The following is a 26,694-nucleotide window of genomic DNA, read 5'->3' on the forward strand; positions in this document are numbered from 1 at the left end:
GTAATACAGAGATATTTTTCAATTGACAACTTTCTATCTCAGTTACTTAGTTTCAATAAATTTAACCTGTAAACATTACCTTACAATGTGTTCCATTCTGAGGTTTCTTTTAACCCAATGGAATAGAAATGACCCCTACTTGGTTTGTCTTCTGAGATTGCTTAAGAACAGGAAGCAAAGTACTGATTACTAGGCTTGCTTTTAAAATAACAGCCTTGGCAATGATCTCTAGCTGAGAACTGGCACTTGTGTTGACTCTAGGTCTTCAGAAAAGGAAAATCAAGGGAAGAAAGAAAAATTCAATGTGCAGAAACAAACAAACAAAAAATGCCAGCAATTTCTGAAGGAATGGAGAATACATGTATATGAATCCTGTAGCACCACGAAATTTAGAGCTACACACCTACAATCCTTCAGAGGCATTTCATGACAGCTGCATGATGAAGGGGGAGGATTTATATTTAATTTCTATATGTGTATACTTTTTACCCTAAAAAAAAGGAAGGAAGAAAGCATGCAAATTAACTTCTTGTCACTAATAAAATGGTGTGATTTAACCCAAAATCCGTGACTGTAAAGTACCCACAAAGAGAAAGAAAATGGGTCTCAGGAAACAAAATTGTTTTATTATGGCTGTATCTGTATTGGGTCAATTACTGTGACGAAAGAGGCATTTTCCCTGGCAGAGAAAAGATTAACATTTTAGTGTATTTTCTTAAATAATTTAAAAAGGAAAGAGTAACATGTAACTAAATTTAGTTTTTAATCATTTTCTACTTACTTGCTATATGCAACTAACTTGTTATTTTCAATGCATTTTTTAAATTTTTCAATGCTAGTTTGTGCATCATCACAGTTTTTAAAAATTTCCTTGCCAGGAAATTATCATATTTGTAATTACAATAACAAAACTCTAGTCACTTCCTGAATTAAAGAAGGGGTTGGGGTGGGGGCAGCTTTATCACCGCAATCTTGGACTGACCTTTTGCCTGAAGCATTTGAAAAGGCAAGTAGAAATCAAATATATTTTTGCATAATGCCTACATCTTTAATGACACTTCTGAGGTGTCTGAGTGATATTTCTATTGTCATTGCATAATATAATACTTAGCATTTTACTGTAATGAAGTGTAACAATTGAGGTAATGTTACTACCATCTTACGTAAATTCAAACTTTTACAAACCAAAGTATGTTCTATTTTTGTCCATTTTGCCAATTCAGTTCTTCTCACTATTCTTAAAGGAGGGTCCATTAATTACATGTATCCAAAATGCACAACAATCTAATTAGCTGTTAGAATGACTCACTTCAGTCCTCAATGTCTTGCTTTTTGTAAAAGTGCTCATTTCCTATGACTTATGGGAGAAATTGTTTGGATTGGAAGAGCTTCAAAGCCAATAAACAGAATAAGGGGACTCCCAGAATAATAGATTTCTAGAATAAGAGCACTTTTTATGGATTAGGAAACAGCTCCAGAGTCTATGACCCGCCCAACGTCACAAAACCAGAATGTCAGTAATACTACTCATCGTTGCCAGATACTCAAAAGCTCCTCTGCAGTTGGAAAGATTCGTTCCAGAAAAAGTCTTTCCTGAAGGGCAACTCACTTTCGCTAGGGATGAAGAGTAACTTAAAAAGGAGAGAGAGCGGAGGTAAGGGGAATGAATTGGTGTAATGCCAAAAGCTGTGGAATAAAAGTTATTCCATGGTATTTGTTCATGGGTGTTGTGTGTGAATGATGTGTGTTGATGTTTTCTGGGTCATTTAGTTTATGAGGGAAGGCAGGAAAAGCCAACAGAGCATACAAAAACAAATCAGCCACAAATTCTGAAAGAGGGAGTTGCCTTTGGTCTAATAAACATTTTAGGAATGTAAACACCTTCTGGGAAGGATTCCTTCTGGGAATGTCTATTTGACATTCACACCTCATTGTCAACTGCTCGAATTAGATAACACCTTGTTGAATATCCTCAGGCAATGAAAAATTAAAGGTAAAGAAAGAGAAAGGAATACTTTTCTAAGGGCGAGGCACTTAGAGGTGGAGACTCCCCTCTGGGCATTACCTACTTGAGGTCTCTATAGAGGAGGCTGATTTTTTTTTAAATTTTATTATTATTATACTTTAAGTTTTAGGGTACATGTGCACAACGTGCAGGTTTGTTACATATGTATACATGTGCCATGTTGGTGTGCTGCACCCATTAACTCGTCATTTAGCATTAGGTATATCTCCTAATGCTATCCCCCCCCCTCCCCCCACCCCACAACAGGCCCTGGTGTGTTATGGTCCCCTTCCTGTGTCCATGTGTTCTCATTGTTCAATTCCCACCTATGAGTGAGAACATGCGGTGTTTGGTTTTTTGTCCTTGCGGTAGTTTGCTGAGAATGATGGTTTCCAAGGCTGACATTTTTAACTGAAACTGAAGAGAAGTGATGAAAAAGCAGGTTGGATTCCATTGCTCACAACTCTTCTTTCCTCAGATGACCCCAACTTACCATTCTCTAATTTTGAAAACAGGAAAAAATGTTCAAGAAGATTTAGAACCTATCTTCAAGAAATGTCAAGAATGTAATATTGGGACTCTCATAAATCATAACTTTTCTGCCTACATTTTCTGAAGATTTCCCTATAAAAGTCTGTTACCTTGACACTCTAATTCATATGCTCAAGAATTAGGTTAATTATTTTTTAAAACTTTGAAGAAAATGATCAAACTAACAGTAACAATAGCATCTACCCATCCTAAAAGAGTATGCATCATATACAGCAAACTTCTATGACTAAGAAACAAAACAGGTTCATTGTTAGATACAGCATAATAGCATCAAAGCTCTGCTTCACCTGTTGGAAGCACAGAACATATTTTAACTTTACGGGCTGTGGGAGCTGGGGGAAGCAAAAACATTAGAGATGTTCAACCAAGCTCTGAGTCATCTCTTTATGAGTTACAGATTCTTAAAAACAAATTAAATGAAGTCCCCAGCTGTAACTATGATTTGAGCCTCATAACGGGGTGAGAATGGAGAAAATGGGCCAAATCTACAGTTATGGAATATATAATGGGATATACACATATATATGTATATATATACACACATATATATATACACATAAATATATACATATATATATATATATATGGCAGATATAACAAGATAGGCCTTAGAAGTTAATTTGGTGGCAAAAGGAGTAGGTTTAGAGAGGAAATATATATAATATATATTTGTTGTTTTCGTAGATGAGATCTGGAGAGTTGCCTCAGAAACGTGTCTGCACCTCTGCAAAGGCATCCCCAAGCTCAACCCTGTGTAATTACCTCCTCTTTGCTCTTGTTCTTGCCTTTCCTTTCTGCACCTGACAGTTAATTGCTGTAATTGAACAACAAGGACTGGGATGCCCTTCCTCCTCTTGCTCTCACTTCTTTCATGACTCTCTTCAGTCTTTGTTGGTTGATTAAGCTTAAGCAGTCTGGTAATCAATCCAAATCTTATCTCATTAATTGGACTAAATGAAGCTTTGAGGGAAGGAAAGGAGATGAGCATAATAGGTGCTAAGTAAATACCGTAGTTGTTTCTCAACCATGGAAAACCCCACTTGAAGGATATACACTTTATATGTTTGCATGAAAGTATTAAGGTATTTGAAGTAACTAAGGTAATCAAAGTAATTTTCCCCAATGTATAATCTAACTTCTGTTTTTTTCAGGCACACTAACACTTTCAGATCCTTGGGACAGGCACCATTCAGTCAAATCCTTATAGAGCAGGACTCTTGAAACGTCAGTTCACTCTTAGCTGTTTTTGGTTTGTTTTTTGTTTTGTTTGTTTGTTTTTAATTTTGTTTGCTTTTCATTTCTGTGGCTTTAGGTTCTTTAAGCCACCATGGAAGTACTTATTTTAAGAGAATAACCATTGGAATTATGCTTTCTTAAGAAAAATAAATGTGAATGAATGTACCAAACATGAAATGTAAGAACTCTTCCATCTAAGCTATAATCCCATCCCTGAATGACACATGATGGTGGTGGGTACAGTTGATGAGGTTTTCTCTAACTCCGGTGGTATAGGATGGTGGTCTTCAATCTGGGAATGTAATAAATGCCCTAAAGGACTATTTCAAGGAGCAACACCTGATAAAGTTTTTCCTAATGTCATACTGCATTGAGCAGAACAATTCTGAATGAAGCTTTTATTTAGTGGTCTGGGCTGAATTACATGCCTCTAGATTTGTATCTGTCAAAATGTGTTTCATGGACGAATGACATCAGAATGCAATGCTCACTAGAGATGGAGCTTCCTGGGTTCTGCATTAGATGCCCCAAGACTCTCTGAGACAAGGCTTAGAGGTCTGCATTGGAACACACTCCTCATGTCATTCTTATCCGAACTAGAATTCAAAAACCACAGCTTTAGAATCTTAAAATAGTTGTTCAACAATTTATTTATGCAAACTGCTGAAAACATGAAAAAGAGAAGTTATATTGCATTTCACTACAGTTCAGTAATCCAATAGGCTGTTGTTCCATTTTAAGATTGTGGAGTCAACATAAATAAACATGATCTTTGCAGTCAGAACAGCCTAGATTTGCCACAACTTACTAGCTATGCAACCTTGAACAAGTTTCTCAGCCTATCAGAACATCAGTTTCATCATCACTGTAATGAGGAAACTATTAACAGCTACCTCACAGGGTTGCTTGAAAGCTAAATGAACAATGTATATGCAAAACACATAGCACAGTGCCTGGAATGTAATAGGCATTTAATGCATGCTACATTATTACTTTCTATCTTAGCAACTTGAGGTGACTGTAATCTCTTTTAAAATATTCAGTGTAAACAAACTTTCTCTTATAATTCTTGCAGCATTATTAGTAATGTTCTGGGAAACGGCTATTGCATAATCTGCCAAATAAGAACAAAGTGGACCTCGGCTAATCAGCAAACGTGCCTGTGCATGTCTTTCTGGTAGCAATTCAGTCAGCTATTAAATTGTTCCTGCTGTGTTTTTTCAAAAAAATAAGTACCAACCCATCTTTCTTTGCTAATGTTAACTCTAATCTGCGTTAGCTGCTTGCTTTTGCAGTTATTGGTATGCATTCACATTCTGTATCTATAGGATATAAATAAAATCAATAGAACTTGCTTTGCGTGAGCCAGTGTTCAAGGTCCAACTACAGATTGGGAATAAGGAATTACTAGGCATTTACAGCAGAAATACTAGCACATAGCACAGTCTTGGTTTTTGAGTCCTACTATGCAGTTTACAACACTCCCATGTATTTAGACAGTGTTAGGTTTTTCTTCCAATCACTCAGTTTCCAAGAGTACATTATACTCAAATTTCTTGATGACAAATCCTATGCAATTTGGTGTGTTTTCCTTTCTAAACCTACTCCTTTTGCCACCAGATTAACTTCTAAGGCCTACCTTGTTAGATCTGTCAGAGGTAAGTAACTAAATAATTAACTACTAGGGGATGCAGGCTACCCCAAAAAGACACAGGTATTTTCCAAGTGACACAGGGGCACACAGAACAAAGGCTTTCAAAACCTTGTCATATTTTCAGTCACAGCAGGTATAAGGACAGATAGCCAGATTCTTGACCTTCCTATTCAAATTAGCTACAGGAAGTGGGGAAATTATTTTACACTCCTCTAAATCTGGCTGTCAAGAATTAGTGGAAAAATCCAACTTTGAATTTGTGCTTCCCTGAGTGTAATCACATTTAGTCCGATTAGATTAAAGAAGAGTAGATCACCCTCAAAGCAAACAGGAAATGGAGACACAATTTGACTTCATGATTGAGCACTAACAAAAGATATATGGAAAATAGATTGGGGTCTAAAGCAAATAGCATTTTTAGTAATTTAAAAATAACTTGAGAGACACATACACATATAAAATGCCAGCTTTTATTGTCAGACAATCAAAATTGTTCATATGTTAAGAAGGCATTTTTTTGTCATTTCTTTAAATTAATTTGAGCTTCAGATAGGAAGGCTACAATCACTGCAGCTAATAAAGTGTTTTTGTTCTTGACAAAGAATAAAACTTGCTGTTGCAAGTGGCTCAACGATAGAAAGAATCTTATTAGAAGTATAATTAATGCAGGGCTTTAAAGAAGTCACATTGCTAACCTAGGGTGCATGGTTTTAGGCAGAAATGTGAACACAATTGCCACTTTGCAAGAACTCACCAAGATCCATGAAAACAATTGAGTCTAAGAAATGACATCGTTACTGCATTTTAAATCATAAAAATATTCTTGCCTGGGCGCGGTGGCTCGCACCTGTAATCCCAGCACTTGGGGAGGCCGAGGCGGGTGGATCACAAGGTCAGGAGATTGAGACCATTCTGGCTAACACAGTGAAACCCCGTCTCTACTAAAAACACAAAATAATTAGCCGGGCATGGTGGCGGGCGCCTGTAGTCGCAGCTACTCGGGAGGCTGAGGCAGGAGAATGGCGTGACCCCGGGAGGCGGAGCTTGCAGTGAGCCGAGATGGTGCCACTGCACTCCAGCCTGGGGGACAGAGCGAGACTCCATCTCAACGACAACAAAAGAAAAAAAAATTCTCTAACTATGAAAATGCTTCTAAACTCTGGTGATTTTCCAGACGGGAGTTGGAGTGAAGGTCTACATTCACTTAGACTGTATCACAACTCCCCATTATTACAAGCTTGAGTTTTCTGTTTTGTTTTTTTTTTTAATTTAGATTTGTAAGCAATATGCCAATAAAATAATTTACTTATTTACTATACTATACCTTGCCTACTTGCAAAATGCTTATAGTATCCAACAGGCCTTACTTAGAAAGTAACAACCAGAAGCAAATGTTTCTTGGAATAACAAACTCCACATCTTCTCTACATCCTGCATTTTTCCCTGTATATTCTGTGATTTGATGCGGTGTTTTTGTGAGTGTGGGAGTATATGTGTAAAGTGTCATTATTTCTACTAAATATATAAATCTAGATAGCAAAAATGGTTTTTTTTGCTACAATAGGCAGTGAAACAATTGCAAACTATTTTTCTTTTGTTAAATTCATGAAATCTGAAACTTTATATTTTTTTCACTTTTCAAAAAGTTTTTAAATTATGAAATATTTACAGATTCACAGGAAGTTACATGGAAATACACAGGAAGATCCCATGTACACCTTCACCCGGTCTGCCCCAATGTTAACATCTTTCATTACCACAATATAATATGAAAACTTCATATCCTTGGCCTGGCGTGGTAGCTCATGCCTGTAATCCCAGCACTTCGGGAAGCTGAGGTGGGCAGGTCACTTGAGGTCAGAAATTCAAGACCAGCCTGGCCAACATGGTGAAATCCCGTTTCCACAAAAAATACAAAAATTAGCCAGGTGTGGTGGCATGTGCCTCTAATCCCAGCTACTTGGAGGCTGAGGCAGGAGAATCACTTGAACATGGGAGGCAGAGGTTGCAGTGAGCAGAGATTGTGCCACTGCACTATGGCCTGGGCAGCAGAGTGAGACTCCATCTCAAAAAACAAAATAAAAAAACAAAAATAAAAACAAAACCCTTCATATTCTTTAATTCCAGTATCTAACTTTGATTTCAAGATTCCCTTTGAAATTTTTAAGGCTTATTAACCCTATGAAGTCTATAACCCTGTTTTCCTGTTAACTTTCATAATTAAGAATTTGACCTCTAATTACTATGCATACATCTATTTTATGAATTTATCTAATAACATTTTATATGACTGTCACTTCTCTGTTTATTTCATTAACTTTTTATTTTTTTTAACAGTAAGAGCCATCTTTTGTTTCCAGGTTATTTATTTAAAAATCCATCAAGTCTTTGGAAACAGATGTTAAGTTAATATTCTAATTTATTTCAGAAGAGATTTGACTTCATATGGCTATAACCAAGAAATGCAAATCTATAGTAAAGATAATGATATTTTACTTGCTACTTCTCACAAAATAGGCTCCATTGGTTTAAATTTAGTAACTAAGAGTATTTCTTTTTTTAAGTCATATTGTAGAAGATTGCATTTTCCAAAGATGACAACAATAATATTTCTGGTCTTACATGCTCTTCCAGAACCTAGTTACTACCCCATTTAGAGGTAGAAATTTTTTTCCTTCCCCTTGAATTTGGGTGAGCTATTGGGACTGCTGTGACAAGTAGGATATGTAAGAAGTGAGGCTGTGTGACTTCTGAGACTAAGTCTTAAAGGCAAAAAGTTCTGTCTGGCTCTTTCTCTTGAGTCACCTGCCTTTGGATCTCAGCTACCATGTTGTGAGGATACCCAGGCCACAGGCAGAGGCCATGTGGCAGATGTTCCAGCTAAAGTCTCAGCCACAGGCCTGAATCAACTGCCAGATGTATTAAGAGAGCTTTCAGAAGATTCCAGCCACCAGCATTTTCTTTTCCTTTCTTATTGTGTCACTTTTTTTTCTTTCCAACTTTTATTTTAGGTTCAGGGGGTGCATGTACAGGTTTGTTACATGGGTAAATTGCATGTGTTGGGGGTTTACTATACAGATTATTTTGTCACCCAGGTAATGAGCGTAGTACTCAATAGGTAGTTTTTCAATCCTCACCCTCTTCCTATCCTCTACCCTCAAGTAGACCCTGGTATCTATGTTATTCTCTTCTTTGTGTCCATATGCACTCGATGTTTAGCTCCCACTTACAGGTAACAACATGTGGTACTTGGTTTTCTTTTCCTGTGTTAATTCGCTTAGGGTAATGGCCTCCAGCTCCATCCATGTTGCTGTAAATAACATGATTTCATTCTTGTTATGGCTGTGTATTATTCCATGGTGTGTATGTACCACATTTTCTTTGCCCAGTCCATCATCGATGGGCCGATTCCATGTCTTTGCGATTGTGAAGAGTGCTGCAATGAACATCTGCATGAATGTGTCTTTATGGTAGAACAATTTATATTCATTTGGGTATATACCCAGTAATGGGATTGCTGTGTCAAATGGTAATTCTGCTTTAAGTTGTTGGAGAAATCTCCAAACTGCTTTCCACAGTGGCTGAACTGATTTACATTCCCACCAGCAATGTATAGGTGTTCCCTTTTTCTCCACAACCTTACCAGCATCTGTCATTTCTTGACTTTTTAGTAATAGCTATTATAACTGGTGTGAGATGGCATCTCATCATGGTTTTGATTTGCATTTTTCTGATGATGAGTGATGTCGAACATTTTTTCATATACTTGTCCACATGCGTGTCTTCTTATAGAAACGTCTGTTCATGTCCTTTGCCCATTTTTCAATGGGGTTGTTTAGTTTTTGCTTGTTGATTTGTTTAAGTTCCTTATGAATTCTGGATATTAGATCTTTGTCAGATGCATGGTTTGCAAATATTTTCTCCCATTCTGTAGGTTGTCTGTTTACTCAGTTGACAGTGTCTTTTGCTATGCAGAAGCTTTTTAGTTTAATTAGGCCCTGCTTGTCAATGTTTGTTTTTGTTGCAATTGCGTTTGGAGTCTTCATCATGAAATTTTGCCAGGGCCTATGTCTAGAATAGTATTTCTTAGGTTTTCTTCTACAGTTTTATAGTTTTAGATTTTACCTTTACATCTTTGGTCCACCTTGAGTTGATTTTTGTATATGGTGAAAGGAAGGGGTCTAGTGTCACTCTTCTGCATATTAGCCATCAGTATTTAAGTCTTCTAGCTGAGGACCCAGGCATTGTGGAGCAGAGATAAGCCATTCCTACTGAGCCCTATCCAAAATTCCCGATCCTCAAAATGTGTGAGAATAAAAGTGATTGTTTTTTGCTACTGAGTTTTCTAATTTGTTACAGAGCCACAAATGACCAGAACACATGTACACTTAGATGTAAACATTTGCAGGAAGAGTATTTGGCATTCATTGGGCTACATCTGTTAATACCTGTAATGTTGCTCTTCTCTTGGCTTCTTATACAATGTGTTCCATTCTTCATTGATCAGTTAGTCTCTACTTTGTAAACTTCAGCAAAACCTACCTAGTTAAAATGAACAATACATCTTCCAGAGAGGCCTCAGGAACTACTGATGTGTGCAAAGACCTGCTTCCCTGAGAATGCCCTCAACATAGCACTGACAGCTCTCTGAATTCCCGGTGAAGTGCAGCAGGCTAAACCATGTATGGGCCTGAATCAACTAGGACTTTTATTTGCACAGGTAAGAGGGGATGCCCTAGTGGGCCAGGGACTGGAATGTTGTGAGAGGGCTTCTCCATCAGCCACAACCTTCAGCCTGTACCTCAAATCAAATGACCTCCCAGTTACCCAGAGAGAGACCAGAAGTCTCACCAGTAAGTACACAGGAGTCTCTGAGGGTGCAAAGAATAATGTCATTCCAGAAATATTTACTAAGTAGCCACTGCATCCTAAAAGGATGATGTAGGGACTTCAGAGTAGGAAAATAACCATGTAAACATGCAGTTACCATGTGGTGAGTACTATAGCAGACATAAGCACACCAACTTCCCACTGCTCATGGCCCCTCTCGCTACACCAACGTCTCATCCGTCACCTTTGCTTTCATTCCTTGTCCTGTCCTCAGACCTCCCTTTCCAGTTTTAGTGCAAACACCTCATCACTTTCCCTTGATGTTTCTTAAAGGGAACCTAGTTGTCCACCAGCCCAAGAATGCCTTGGGGGTTTTGTTAATATTGCAGACCCCTGGCTCGCTCCAGACTCACTGAGTCAAAATCACCAGTGGTGGGATCCAGGGTTTGAATTTTTGTAAATGTCCCCTGCTGATTCTTATGCATCTATTCTTGTCTTCCCCACTCTAGTCTCTGCTATCCGATTCACTCTTCTTGTGAACACTAGATTAATTTTTCAGAGCTTGACTCTGATAATATCACTCCCTTGCCACCTTAAAATGGGTTACCAGTGCCTAGCAGGCTTTTTGCTCTATATCCCAGTACTCAAAACTTTTTCCAATCTGGCCTCAACCTACTTCCTAGTCATGTCACCAATAACCCACATAGAGCTAGTTGTATGACATACAGCTTGCTTCTGCCAAATCGTATCCCCCTCCACCCCCTACTTCCCAAACATAGCCAGGACTTCCCACCAGCTGCCTGCCTGAAGGGAAGTTTTTCAAGTTAGCCTGACACTCTGAATACCTTCAGCTCTTCTGTGGCAGCTGGTAAAAATTCTCCTTAGTACCTAGTTCAAAGGTAAGATCTCCCATAATATCATCATATCTGGAAGTTCTCTTTCCCTTCTCTGTAGCACCTTGTCTTAAACATTCTCATAGTATCTCTCACATCTCTCCTTGTAATAACAATATCATTACTTACCTAGTCCCACTCACCCCCTAAAAGTATTCAAATATGTGTATATATACATGTGTGTGCATGAGTGTGTACACACACTGAGTTAAATTTTAAGTCAAATTTATATATATACACACACACATATATTACATATTACATATACATGTTGCCAGCTTAAAATGGGTTACCAGTGCTCAAAACTTTTTACATATATATAAATAAATATATATATAACTTTATTTTATTTTAGATCCATGGGGTACATGTGCATGTTTGTCACAAGAGAATATAAGGTACTGGTGGAGACTGGGCTTCTAGTGTACCCATTACCCAAACAGTGAAAACTATCTGATAAGTTATTTTTCAATCATCAGCCTCCTTCCATCCTTCCCTTTTTTGGAGTTTTCAGTGTCTATTACTTCCATCTTTTTTTAAAATTACTTCATCTTTGTTAAAGAGTATACTGGCCACTTACATATATTGTGGCCTTTTCAAAATTTGCTGAAATCTGTAATTCTACAATATAAATTTATTTCATAATTTCTAAATACTTTGTAGAAGGTTGCAATCATATTTAAAATTTTTCATCAGAGTATTCTATTTAGTAATTGTTTTGCTATGAATACAGACAAAATCATGAAGTGCTATTAAAATCAAGTGGTCACTTTGTTGGAGTGGAGAGATTCTGAAGTGTTATAAATCTTATACATTTTATAATTATTTTATTGACAAAGACCAATAAATAAGCTGCTACTGAGTAATATAAAAGTTACTTTGCACCAAAGGGAATACATTAAATATATATTTTGAGTTACCTTTGCTCAGATCCTAAATCAGTGACCCTCATTAAGGAACCACTGTGTGTTGGGACTTCTAGTGTGCCCCGGCTTCATGCGTCACATCCTAAAATGAAGGTCACTCAGGGTGGAGGGGCCTTTAGGATCATCACAACTTTCCCTTTCTCACACCCTCAACCCATATCTGCCTCCCTGGGAGGACAGGCTTTGCAGTGACATCTCTATCATTACTAGTTGGGCATCATTACCTCACTGTACTGAGCCCCATTCCCTTATTATGAGGATAAAAATAGTGTCACCAGCTTTCTAAGGTTACTGTGAGGATTGTGCAGAAAAATAGGAAATCTATAAATGTTGCCTGTTTTATTACAACAATTCCAATGTGTGGGACCTTTATCAGAAAACTTAGAGAAACAGAAGACGCCTTACTTCCAGAGACTGGTAAAATAGGCTGTGTCTGTTTTTACAGGTTCCAGAATTTCTCCTACCTCAAATCCCCCTATCAGCCTCCAATCCCCTGAAAGCTGGCAGTGACTCAGATGAGCCTGTCAGTCTGGAATCAATGGTTCATTTCTGCTGTAAAAGGGACATTGGAAGAGAGCACTATGCCTCACTGGTCATTTGACTGAATTTATCAGCTCTTTTCCTGAGAGCAAAAGTGGGAGAATTAGACTCGGGTGGGCCTGCGGCAGAGAGTAAAAAAGCAGGGATGGACTGGAGGTGAGGAGTCCTAACAAATATGTTTATCCTACTCAACATTACCTAAAAACTAGATATAGCCACACAAGGAAGGAGAAAAACATCTCTTCTGTGTGCATCTTTGCGATGGATTTAGAGGCAATGTATAGGAAGGCATTATTGCCTGGGGGTTATGAACAGAAGCTCTGGTACCAGACTGCCTGCTTTCAAATCCTGGCACTGGCACTCCCTAGCTCTGTGATCTTTGGCAGATTATGACACTTGTGCCTCGATACCCTTATCTGCTAAATCGGGGAGCACAATAATTAAAGTTTTCCTTAGGGTTCTGGTGAGATTTAAATAAGATGACACATGTCATATACACTTGCAGTAGTGCCTGGCCACAAAGTTTCAATAAATATGGAGAGAGAGAGAGAGAGACAGAGAGAAAGAAAGAGATCACAAAATCGGATCATACTATACTTTAACTTTTTATACTTAATTTAGTGTGATTTATAATTTATAATCTAAGTAGAGATAACCCAAAATACATATTTAATGTATTCCCCTTGGTGCAAAATAACATCTGCTTCTCTGTATCCCTACTTATTTTATTTATTTATTTTGTTTTTTGAGACAGGGCCTTGCTCTGTCACCCAGGCTGGACTGCAATGGCGCTGTCAGACCTCACTGGGACCACAGTAGCTGGGACCACAGGTGTGTACCACCATGCCCAACTAATTTTTTTGATTTTTAGTAGAGACGAGGTCTCGCTACATTGCCCAGGCTGCTCTACACTTCTGGGCTCAAGTGATCCTCCCTCCTCACCCTCTCAAAATGCTGGGGTTACAGGCATGAGCCACTGCACCCGGCCTTATACTTTTCATATCTTATTTAATATAGCAAGTTAACGTAATATTTATATGTAACCCTACACTCTTGTGAAGAAAATATGCAGAAAATATTTCTGGAATAAAAATGTATACATGCTTCTGCATCTTCACGTTACATTACATTTAAATCTTCATCATATTTTAATAGCTGCATAATGTTGCATGGTATGAATGCATTTTTCTATTCATAAAGAGTTCCTTATAGGGAAACATAAGATGTTTTTAGCTGATATGGCTTGGCTATGTCTCCATCCAAATCTTATCTTGAATTGTAGTTCCCGTAATCCCTACGTGTCATGAGAGGGACCCGGTGGGAGGTAATTTAATCATAGGGGTGGTTATCCTCATGCTATTCTGCTAATAGTGAGTGAGTTCTCATGAGAGTTGAGGGTTTTATGAGGGGCTTTTCCCCTATTGCTCGGCAGTTCTTTCCTTGCTGCCGCCATGTGAAGAAGAACGTGTTTGCTTCTCTTTCTGCCATGACTGTTAAGTTTCCTGAGGCCTCCCCAACCATGCTGAACTGTGAGTCAATTAAACTTCTTTCCTTTATAAATTACCCAGTCTCAGGTATGTCTTTATTAGCAGCATGAGAACAGACTAATATACTAGCATTATCAAAAATGTTGCAATTAACAACTTTGTGGTCTAGTTTTGCATGCAAATGCAAATAGATCCGTGGGATAAAATCATAGAAACAAAATTACTGACTCAATGTTTATGCACGTCTCTAATTGGAGGAATATTGCCTAAGTGCAGATGTTTTCGTCTTTTGCCTATTTTCTACTGACTGGTTTTCCTTTTTGTAATGATTTATAAAGACCTTTGTCTATTACAAAATTATATAACTTCTGTCATATTTGTGACACATTTTTCTCCAACTTTCTCATTTGCTTTTTATTTATACATTTTGTTGTGCAGATATTTTTAGGCACTGAAATGTACAAATCAGTTTCTTTTTGGTTCTGGGTTTCTGACAAGCTAAGAAAGGATTTCCCCATTACTAGATTATAAAAGAAAAAGAAAAACACCGCCATGATTTTTAAAATAGTTCTATGGTTTCATCTTTTAAAATTTAGGTTAAGCCATATGGAATCGTAAAAATAAGTGATTTTAGCCTACAAAATGTCAGTTGCAGACAAATGTATTTAAACCTTTGGTCTGCTTGAAATCGCATGTGTTTGTGTTTGTGTGTATGTGTGCATGTGTTTGGGGTGTCTGTGTGTGCTGTGTGAAATACAAAGACATGAGGTAATAAGTCAGCTCCTTTCCTCTGCTTCCCTATCCAAGAGTCTCCAAATGATGACATGAATATTCTCATCTCTTACATATGTGGGCCTATTTTGAACTACATATTCCACCCTGAGTATATATATGTCTAAATTACTATGGTTGGCAAGTATATTCCAATATCTAATAGAATTAGGTTTCCCTCATAACTCTTCTTTTGTAGACTTTTTTCTATATACCATATAATGTTTATTTTTCTGAATTAATATAATTATTTCTAACAATTCAAATTTTTTAAAAGTCTTGCTCAAGAGTGCAATTTTAGCTTAATTTGTTATCTGACATCTTTATTGTGAGTTTTCTTGTCCAGGAACAAGTTATGTCTTTCAATTTAGTCCAAGTCCTCTTCTATATATTCCTCAAAAGACTGTGTCAGATTTTTCCTCATATAATTTCTCCGCATTTGATATCTTCCACCTTCTTAAATTCTCTTGCTGTTTTTTAACAGCTTTTCAGTTAATTCCTTTATGTCTTCCAGTCATACATTGATAATATATGTAACTAATGATAGGTTTGCCATACCACTTCTAATTATTTTTGTTATTTATTTGTACCCAATTATATTGGCTGGTATGTGACTACTGACTTTGGTGGGAATGTTCTTAAAACTTAGCACTGATGCTGGCTATATACAAACATACTCTCATACACACACACACACACACACACACACACCACTATGAAGATTTTATACAAATCAGAATTAAGTGCAAATTTCATAGAACTTATTTTGCATTTGGATGGGTACAGAGTTTCTTCTTTGGGTTATTACTAAGATAAATTATATTAATATAATTCATAATATTGAATTATCCCTACATTCCTAGAAGACTCCCCCATTTGGTAACACATTACTGTATTAACAAACTGCTAAGTCTATTCTAGGTCACAGAAAATAATTGCAGCTCTATGTTGTCTTCTTCAGCCCTGATTCTCTGATGTTCTTCAGAAAGAAAATCGGTCTGTATTAGAACATTCTCCACATCTACAATGGCTTCCCATGGGCCAAGTCATATCTTTGTAAAGGGTTATTTTGGGACCATTTCGCTTATCTTTAGAGAAGTCCATATCCTAACTGAGCTTCAGAGTGGTATGTATCAGTCTTTGATGTCTTTCACTTGATCTGATCCAATTATCACTATTATTTGACAGATAGAGATACTCCTATCCTAAAGATTTGGGTAGGAGTATGATTATTTTCAAGTTTACCAATGTTGAATTTTTTCCACAATTTTTGCATTCCTTTTTGTTGCTTTTGATAAGTCTCAGGGAAAAATAAAAACATCCTTCCTTATCATCTTTTACCAGAACTCCTACACCATTATTCCAAGGGCTAGCTGCTGCTCCTTTGAATGGCTGTACTTAAATTATCTAACCAATATCCCATTTTTAGATATTTAGGTTATGCCAAATTTTCACTGTGATACATATCACTGAAAAGAAAGAACATTTTAAAAGACCAATATTGGAGAAAATCAAATTCACACAAAATAGTGACTAGTAGAAAAGCAAAGGATGCCTGTAGAATAATGAAAAAACTAATGAAAAAGAGCTGCTTTTGTGGGGTGAGTTGCTCAGGCAGAAAGGAACAGAAAGGGAACTAAATCTCTTTAGCAACTTCCTCTTATTTAATCTCTTCTCTTTCCCCTTCCCACATCCTCTCTTGTAGAGGGTCTGCTGTGGCAATATTGCTGTGTGAGATTAGGACACCTCTCTCTGATGTGTAAGGTGCAAGCTAGATTGTGGTGGCAGGCAGCATTATGTGTTTCCATTCTCTTGAGTTCTCACTTATTGGAAAATCCAGGATAGCCATTAGTAATCACAGAAATGGTTTTAAAACCATTGTCCGGAAGAAATTCCTTTTCTGCCACATGGAACTCAACTACTATAAATTATGATTTTGGGAATACTACATTGATTTAAGTAAGAGGGACAGTCACCTTGAATCAAAGAACCAACTCTTACATTGGGCTTGTAAATGTTTTTCTGTTTAAGAATAATAATAGCAGGATTTAACTGGACACTTATCTTAGACATAGATGCCGTAAAATTTCAAGACTGCTTCACCTTTATCACTTGTCTGTCTGAAGAACCTAGAGATTTACACAGTCTAGCTGACATTCAAGTTCTTTAACTTCTCACCCCCAGCTGCTTCATCAGATACAGATGTCTCAAATCAGACTTAGGACTAAGGTGGGCAGCAGTGAATAAAACATAAATGTCAACAACAAAACCCACAAGAAAATTTAAAATAACTTTCTTGTTGAGGGTCTGTACTGGGCATTAAGGATAAAGAAGTATCTTATATAATCTGTGCCTTGAAGAAGCTTACACCGTGCTGGGCTAAATAGAGATGACAATTTTCAAGATTGAAATGATCAGTGATACAATGTCACACAGAAAGGCAAGAACTATTCTATTAAAAGTTCTTTGGTCTGGATTTTTTCTGTGTGTGCTTTTACTCCCTGAGTAGATGGACAGCCAATGAGAGTCCTGATCAGTAGCTAACTAGGTTCTAGGACAAGCAATGTCAAGAATAGACTTGCAGAAGAAAAAAGAATCCTCTCAGCAGGTCAAGCTGCCCCTACATTATGGATAGGAAGGGTTGGGGAGGAGGGATGTGTGGGATGTCAGACTTGCCAGAGGAGCTCTTTTGAAACTCACTGTCCAGGCTTCCTCGCTTTGCAGTTCTGGTGAACATTAGAAGGGAGAAGGAAAGGCAGGCACATTTTGAAGTCTTCTAGGTAATTAACTTTCTTTCCTCTTCACCCTGCATCCAAAAGAGGCTGGTAGGGACACCCTGCAAAGGCCCATCCAGGTGGGTCCCTGGGAGGGCACCCAGCACTAAGGGCACCTTTTGAAAAATAAGCCAGGCTTAACCCTCTACAGCCACATAACAAGCAAGAAATCAGGAAAGCCAAGAGTTTTAAATGCTTGTATTCTTTTTCTCTTTTTTTTTTCAACAGAGACTTGTTCTGTTGTCTAGGCTGGAGTTCAGAGGCATGATCTTGGCTCACTGCAACCTCTACCTCCCTGGTTCAAGCAACCCCACCACGCCCGGATCATTTTTGTGTTTTTAGTAGAGACGGGATTTTACCACATTGGCCAGGCTGGTCTCAAACTCCTGACCTCAGGTAATCCACTCATTTTGGGCTCCCAAAGTGCTGGGATTACAGGAGTGAGCCACCATGCCTGGCCAAATGCTGTATTCTAATCCTTCCTTTTAGTGGCGATAATGGGTATTTGTTAGCCATTTCATGGGATTATGTAATCATGAAATATACTATTATTAGTTTTGATTATCTGAGAAAGGCTACTAGTAATCTCAGAAAACCATTTTCTACCATGAAATTTAATATAAATATTCTTTATTTTAAAGTCTTATTTTTTATGGTGGCTTTAAGTAAAAACCTGTTAGTGTGAAAACTCTTCATCTTCTCATCAGAAAATCAATCATAAAAATGAGTTTTGGTAATAAATGGATCTAAACCGGTAGAAGTGCAGGTCAGAAGTTACAATGTTAAAGGTACAAAAATAGAACCATATGGGAACTTTTTTCTAAAAAGTCTGCAGTCAACATTTCATCCATCAATTCATATCACCATTAATATTTGGAAGCTTTGAGTCAAGCAAGAATCACATGTGCATGTGACCAGCCCTAAGGGACTCCCCTTTAGAGAGGCAGCAAAGGCCCGGCATAACCATCTAGCATGGCTCTCTTAATTAATATGAATTGCAGTTACCCACTTGAAACATTAATGCAAAATGAAACTACTACTTTAGCAAACCTTAGCTGGATCCATTTTTTCAATACACATTCTTTCATATTCCACCAGTTTGCTGTTTGAACCTACTGTCTCAATATATAAAAGCATACTTCACTCAGCAGAGGAACCAGAACCAATTTGTCCCTAAACATTTCTTTTTTTTTTTTTTTTTTTAAAGACAGGGTCTCATTCTATCACCCAGGCTAGGGCACCTAGTGGTGCCACCATAGCTCACTGTAACCTCGAACCCTAGGCTCAAGCAACCCTCTTGCCTCAGTCTCAGGAGTAGCTGGGACTACAGGTGCATGCCACCACACCTGACTAATTATTATTATTATTATTATTATTATTTTGTAGAGATGGGATCTCACTCTGTTACCAGGCCTCAAGACATCCTCCCACCTTGGCCTTCCAAAAGTGCTGGGATTACAGGTGTGAGCTACTGTGCCCAGCTAAAAAAAATTATGTCTTATTACTATAACTTTGTAAACTGTGTTCATCTGAATGAAATAGTCACCTGAGGCATAACAAAATATAATCTTAGATTATAACAACACATTTAAATTAAGACATGTATGAGAGAAAATCCATTTTTTTTTCTGGAATATTCCACATAGGTCATAGCATACTACCTAATTTTTTATGTTAAATGTTTTATTTTACCATGTCAAAAAGACAAAAACTATTATTATTATATTATTCTTATAATTACAAATGTAATTTATATTTACCAAAAAACTACAAGCTTCCCATAGTTTCTACAATTATTACTTTAAAAAAAAGTCCTGTATGGTTTCTTGTTGCCAAGTGCAAAATAATAGTCTTATCTTTGTGGGTGTGGTTCTGGCTTTCCTAACTTGTCTGTCACTGATCACTAATAAACATCCTTTGTCCCATCTAAACTGAGTTATAGGATGTGTCCCAATTTACCTTAAGGTTTCCCACCTCCACTCCATTGCTTATGCTAGTTCTCTGCCTGCCAATGGACAATCTAATTCACTTTTCCTTTGAAACTCGTCTCACATACTAATTCATTAAAAATATCAAGTTCTGGCTTTGTTCTTTTTGCTTAAGATTGCTTTGACTATTTGGGCTCTTTTTTGGTTCCACAGAAATTTTAGAATAGTTTTTTTCTAATTCTGTGAAAAATGTCATTGGTAGTCTGACAAGAATAGCATTGAATCTCTCAATTGCTTTGGGCAGTATGGCCATTTTTACGATGTTGATTCTTTCAATCTATGAGTATGAAATGTTTTTCCATTTATTTATGTTGTCTCTGATTTCTTTCAGCAGTGTCTTGTAATTCTCCTTTTAGAGATCTTTAACCTCTTTGGGTAGGTGCATTCCTGGGTATTTCATTTTCTTTGTGGCTATTGTGAGTGGGATTGTGTTGTTTATTTCACTCTCAGCCCAGATGTTGTTGGTGTACAGAAATGCTACTGAAGAACAAAGCCGGAGTTATCACACTACCCATCTTTAAACTATACTATACAGCCACAGTAACCAAAACAGCATGTTATTGGTACAAAAACAGACACATAGACTGATGGAACAGAATAGAAAATTTAGAAATAAAGCCACACACCTACAACCATCTGATCTTCAACAAGGCTAACAAAAACAAGCAATGGGAAAAGGACTTCCTATTCAATAAATGGTGCTGGGATAACTGGCTAGCCCTAGGCTGAAGATTGAAACAGGACCCCTACCTTTCACCATATACAAAAATTAACTCAAAATATATTAAAGATTTAAATGTAAGACCTCAAAATGTAAAAATCCTGGAAGACAACCTAGGAAATATTCTTCTCAACATTGGTGCTGGAAAAGAATTTTTGGCTCAGTTCCCAAAAGCAATTGCAACAAAACCAAAAATTGACAGGTGGGAACTAATCAAACTAAAGAGTTTCTGCACAGCAAAAGAATCTATCAACAGAGCAAACAGGCATCCTACAGAATAAGAGCAGACATTCACAAACTGTGCATCTGAGAAATGCCTAATATCCAGAATCTATAGGGAACTTAAATCAACAGCAAAAAAATAAAATAAAATAAACAAAAAACCCCATTAAAAAATGGGCAAAAATCATGAACAGACACTTCTCTAAAGAAGATGCACATGTAGCCAACAAGTATATAAGAAATGCTCAACATCATTAATCATCAGAAAAATGCAAATCAAAAGCATAATGAGATACCATCTCACACTAGTCAGAATGGATCTTATTAAAAACTCAAAAACAACAGATGCTTGCCAGGCTCCAGAGAAAAGGGAATGCTTATACACTGCTGGTAGGAATGTAAATTAGTCCAGCCACTTTGGAAAGCAGTTTGGAGATTTCTCAAAGAACTTAAAACAAATCTACCATTCGACCCAGAAATCTTATTACTGGGTGTATGCTGGGTATATACTGGGTATTTTTTGCATATACTGGGTATATGCAAAAAATAAATAAATATATCACTCTACCAAAAAGACACATGCACTCATAGGTTCCTTGCTGTACCATTCACAATAACAGAGACATGGAATCAATTCTGGTGTCCATCAGTGGTAGACTGGATGGAGAAAATGTAGTACATATACACCATGGAATTCTATGCAGCCATAAAAACAATGAAATCATGTCCTTTGCAGCAACATGGATGGAGCTGGAGGCCATAATCCCTAAGCAAATTAACACAGGAATAGAAAACCAAATACTGCATGTTTTCACTTATAAGTGGGAACTAAGCATTGAAAACACATGGACATAAATTTGGGAACAATAGACACTATAGACTACTAGAAGGTGGAGGGAGGAAGTGAGTTAAAAAACTGTCCATGGGGTACTATGTTCACTGCCAGGGTGATGGGATCTGTACTCCAAACCTCAGCATCACACAATATTGCCATGTAACAAATCTGCACAGGTACCCTCTGTATCTAAAATAAAAGTATAAAAGAAAATCAAAGTCCTTCACTTGATAATATCCTCTCCACCTTCACTCACAGATGAGAGGGCAGAGAATTTATTAGTGCCTCTCTTCCGGATTATCCATCATATCACACCTTATATAATCATCTGTGTATTTATTAAGTGAACTGGCATGTCTTCATGGGCCCAGTGTGAGTGAGTGTGGGTGTGGGTGTGAGTGTGCCCTGCAATGCAACAGCAGCCTGGCTGGGGCAGTTCCCACCTGAGCTCCTGGGGTGGGCTCTGACCACCCGCAACCCTGAACTAGAATATGTAGGTATTTATCTTTCTTAAATGTATGTACAACTCATTTATTTCAATGTTTAATATGAGAAGTATTTTGGTCTTTATTTAGAAGTTTGGTGAAACTTTTGCAACCAGAAATATGCCACAGGAGCTTGACTCCTGTTTATATCAATTAACTTGTGGTCAAATGGGTTTCCTTATAAGTCATCTCACTTGAAGTTACAGTTTGCAGTTTCCAAGAATCTATTGATAGCATTCAATGAGGACTTGTACCATAAAGAAAATTATACTACAATGAAATGTGTTATGAAATGACATAGCTTGGGCTGGGCACGGTGGCTTATGCCTGTAATCCCAGCACTTTGGGAGGCTGAGGTGGGCGGATCACGAGGTCAGTAGATTGAGACCATCCTGGCTAACATGGTGAAACCCCATCTCAACTAAAACTACAAAAAAATTAGGGTGTGGTGACGGGTGCCTGTAGTCCCAGCTATTCGGAAGGCTGAGGCAGGAGAATGGCGTGAATCCGGGAGGCAGAGCTTATAGTGAGCTGAGATTGTGCCACTGCACTCCAGCCTGGGTGACAGAGTGAGACTCCTTTAAAAAAAAAAATGACATAGCTTGAAGACATAGAGGACGGAAAACATTCAAGGACTCTATAGTTGTGATCTCAGTGCATTGAGAAATGCCAGGTTGAGTCTAAGAGAGACTTGAGGTCAGACAGACTGTGATTTTTAATGTTGATGGTGCCATTTGTAAACCATGTGGCCTTGACCAATTTACTATATTTAGAGTTTGGGGCCTTTATTTTCTCATTTATTAAACAGAGATAGAAATGCCTACTTACAGGGTTGTGAAAATCGTATGAGATCATTAAGTAGAGCACCTAGATATGTTCGCAGCATGTTAGTAACATGGGCCTCCACAAACAAGAGCTCTTTAATCACTAAGGTCTGGAAAAAACCATAGTGAGCAGAACCCACCCACCTTCTCATTAACTTCTTTTTACCAATGTTTTAGATGAGGACAAGATTCTTCCCCCACCCCCTGCCTCCGCCCCATCCCATTCTGCTCAATTTTCATTTTCTTTGTTTCTGGAAAGGCTTCAGTAGCTGGAGGGAGGAGTCATTGTCAGGTGCACAAAGTCAAGGGAAGAGGTGAAGTCCCATAAAGTCTACTGGTCTTGCCATTCTGTGTGGGACAGGGATCACTGTAAGGAATAGTCATAAGACTGATTTTTTAGTTTGAAACCAAATCATACAAAGAATGGACAGGGGACATAAGAGTGTTGACCTGTAAGAGAGGAACGCTGAGGAGACCAGCATCACCTCATGTGCAGGAACAGCCAGACAAGGTCCCCTGAGGCCCAATGGGATAAAACTAGGACACATGAATGAAGTTACAAAGAGACATATTTCTGTTCAGTATACATAAAGAACTGGGTTTTGGATGTTTGCTCTATCCAAAGATGGACAGGGAAGTGGTTCTAAAAGGTCAGATTATATTACCTTTAGGAGGTATTCTAAACTTAATATCCAATGAATCTATGAAATCTTCAAGAAATTTTATTTTGATGCTACACAAGACCCAGCTTATAGGAAACAGGGTGAATTATTTTAAATTACAGAATTGTGTCCCATATTTATCGTAAACTATCTAAAAACAATTCATTAAAATAAATACGTCCCTTGATGTCACATCTCCCTCCAGCTACCATCAGTTTCCCAACTCTCTTGTACAAAAAACTCTTCCAAGGAATTTCTACTGAGTCAGTCTCCACCTCCTCAACTCTCAGTCTCTCCTGAGCCTAAGCCAATCAGACTTTCATCCTCATGATTTTAAAGAAAACATTCTTATCAATTCCCAGTCTCTCCTGAGCCTAGGCCAATCAGACTTTCATCTCCACTATTTTAATGAAAACATTCTTATCAATGCCACACCTTCACCGTACCACATTCCAAGCTTCATTTTCAGTTCTCATATGACATGACCTTTCAGCACATTACCATTGCTAGTTTACACCCTCATTCTTAAAACTCCAATAGCCTGGATGCCCAGCCATCCTCTTCTCCTGTTTTTGGCTTGTTATTTACCATACTGCTGCTCCTTTTCAGGTTCCTTTGCGGTCTCCTGTCTTTTGTTCTGAACTAAAAATACTGGGGAGGACCAAGTGAACAATGATCACTTCTACATTCTTCCTTCAGTAAATCTCATCTGGATAAATGTCATCTTTATGCTCCCAAATCATAAACACATATCCTCACCCTTGAACTCTCTTCTGAGCCCCAGCCTGTTCAATAAAACTGATTTCTCAACATCTCCACTGGATGTGAACTTTTCAAGGCACAACTGCTTGATTTCACACATCATCATCCAAGCTCCAGATACACTGGTTCAATTTATTGCAAGAACCTTTATGTTTGTTATTTACTCAGCCTGGAATGCCTTCCCCGCTTTCAAGGCTCTGTCCTTCTCATGCAGGTCTCAGATGCAACATCAACTCGTTAGCATGCTTTTGCTGACACCCCTATCTCAAGTAGGATTGTAGAAGTTTATTAAATAGTAGGTGAATGAATAAATGAGCAATCTGGTTTTTTTAATCGTAATACTTAAAAATGTTGCCACTAGCTATTCCAAACTGCCTTGCCAGAAACTATATATTCTTTCCCGAATTTGGAAACACTGAAACAGAAATCTGTTAACAGAGCTGTTGTGGGAAAATGCAATTGGCTCTACATCTGCCCCTAGTGGGAACTCTGGAAACTTTACAGCAGCAGCCAATCTAGAGTTTAGGCTCTGACAAAGCAGTAAACTTCAAGGTCACACAGCTGCCTCACCTGTACGATGCGGCTGTTGGGTCTATGTTCTCTAAGGTCTAGTCCCACTCTGAAATTCTATGCTATTATGTTTCAAATATTCTATATCCTGAATAGCTAAATGGGGACCTTGTCCTTACATCTGCTTGTACATAGAATGAGAAGAGAGATGGAGCTAGCTGCCCTGATCAGGCCATCACAGTGGAGAACTGAGGGCTCGAACCAAGGGGTTGATTCTACATATTTCTTTCTGATTCCTTGCACTTCTATCCCAAAAGAGTGTGCCTGGCAAAAAGGGCAATCTAAAAAAAAAAAAAAAAAAAAAAAAAAAAAGCCTCTTGTGATCTGTGTCCCTGGGTGGAACTTAGAGAAGAACAATTGTCAGTATTTACTTTAAGGCCAATTTTACATTATGAGGTATTTTTTGACCATTTTCTTGTTTTAAAAAGTTATGATTACAGTTTTTTGTTTGTTTGTTTTTTTTTTTTTTTGAGATGACGTCTCACTGTGTTGCCCAGGCGATCTCAGCTCACTGAAACCTTCACCTCCCAGAGGAGTTCAAGAGATGCTCATGCCTGAGCATCCTGAGTAGCTGGGATTACAGGGGTGTGCCACCATGCCCAGCTAATTTTTGTAGTTTTAGTAGAGACAGGGTTTCACCATGTTGGCCATGCTGGTCTTGAACTCTTGACCTCGAGTGATCCGCCCGCCTTGGCCTCCCAAAGTGCTGGGATTACAGGAGTGAGCCAGTGTGCCCGGCCAAGTTATCATTATAGTTTTAACTTTTTTATTATTATTCTTATTTCTTGAAGCTTTCCACTATGCATGGTGACTGGGAGTGTTCACTGCTAACTTTCAAGGTAAGTATTGTACGTAAGCAGAATGAAAGGAAAAGGTATGGGAAGCATGATATGTAAAGGATTTATATCTTGTTAACGATGGTATTCACAAAACAACATGTTTAAAAATTAATTGAAAAGAGATCTTTCTTCTTATCATCTTCCCTTCCTGTTGAATTTGACAGTCAAATACATTTGGCATTACAGACTTTCGAACTTACCAGAGCAGTTGGTTTATTTCACAAAGGACTGGTCCTCTCTAAAGGCACAGACAAAGGCACAAGCAAAAACTGCTCATCCTCTGTGCCAGGAACATGAGGGCCTCCATATGTCTGGGGAAAATGTGGGCACTAAATTGGTAGACAAAATAAAATTCAATAAGATCACTCTTACCCTCTTCTCCAATCATAGGTATTTCTCTAATAGCATAAAAAATTTTTGTTAAATTGATATGAAGTGGTAGATTTCATTTACACACACTTGCTCTGGGAGGCTCTAGATATTTTAGTAAACCAACAGACATTTGATTTTTGAGCAACATGTTTTCCCATTGAGCATATGGAGAGAAATTTATTTTTAAACATTAAATAGACGTGCATCTTACAGTAACTAAAACTACCTAAAGCACTTTCCTGTTTGCCTCAAACTTTCTTTTTTCTTAGATACAGTGTCTCACTCTAGTTTCCGAGGCTGGAGGGCAGTGACATGATCAGGGCTCACTGCAGCCTCGACCTTGTGGGTTCAAGTGATCCTTCTACCACCTCAGCCTCCTGAGTAGCTGGGACTACAGATGTGCACCACCATGTCTGATTAATTTTTTTATTTTTATTTTTTGTGGAAATGGCATCTCACTATGTTCCCCAGGCTGGTCTTGAACTCTTGGCCTCAAGTGATCCTCATGCCTTGGCCTCCTATAGTTTGGCAAGTACAAGATAAACGGCTGTTGAATTGGATTTAATTCAGCAGCCAGATATCTGCTGTGTTCAGAATGAGTGAGCACAAACTCCAGAGACCATGTGACTATTATACAATTATAGACTGCATGTCCACTGAAGAAACAGCTACTTGTAATGAATTCTTTCTTTTGTTGTAGCTATTATGAATATATTTATAAGGAAAAATCCCTAAAATACATGCTT

The 26,694-nt window shown here is 37.9% G+C and overlaps 1 protein-coding gene across 44 annotated transcripts in view, besides 1 other annotated feature; it reads right to left on the minus strand.

Moving 5' to 3' along the window:
* Positions 1-26,694, minus strand: part of SYNE1 (spectrin repeat containing nuclear envelope protein 1) — a 515,676-nt gene that overhangs the window by 449,392 nt on the left and 39,590 nt on the right. The gene's annotated exons all lie outside the window — the stretch shown is intronic.
* Positions 1,627-2,189: an enhancer, noted in NCBI's record as "NANOG hESC enhancer chr6:152893840-152894402 (GRCh37/hg19 assembly coordinates)". NCBI's record gives its function as "activates a minimal SCP1, AML or CMV promoter by ChIP-STARR-seq in naive and primed H9 embryonic stem cells {active_cell/tissue: H9 hESC(naive and primed)}" and the evidence as "EXISTENCE:reporter gene assay evidence [ECO:0000049][PMID:30033119]".

The sequence above is a fragment of the Homo sapiens genome, chromosome 6 (assembly GCF_000001405.40).
Source record: "Homo sapiens chromosome 6, GRCh38.p14 Primary Assembly".
NCBI lineage: Eukaryota > Metazoa > Chordata > Mammalia > Primates > Hominidae > Homo > Homo sapiens.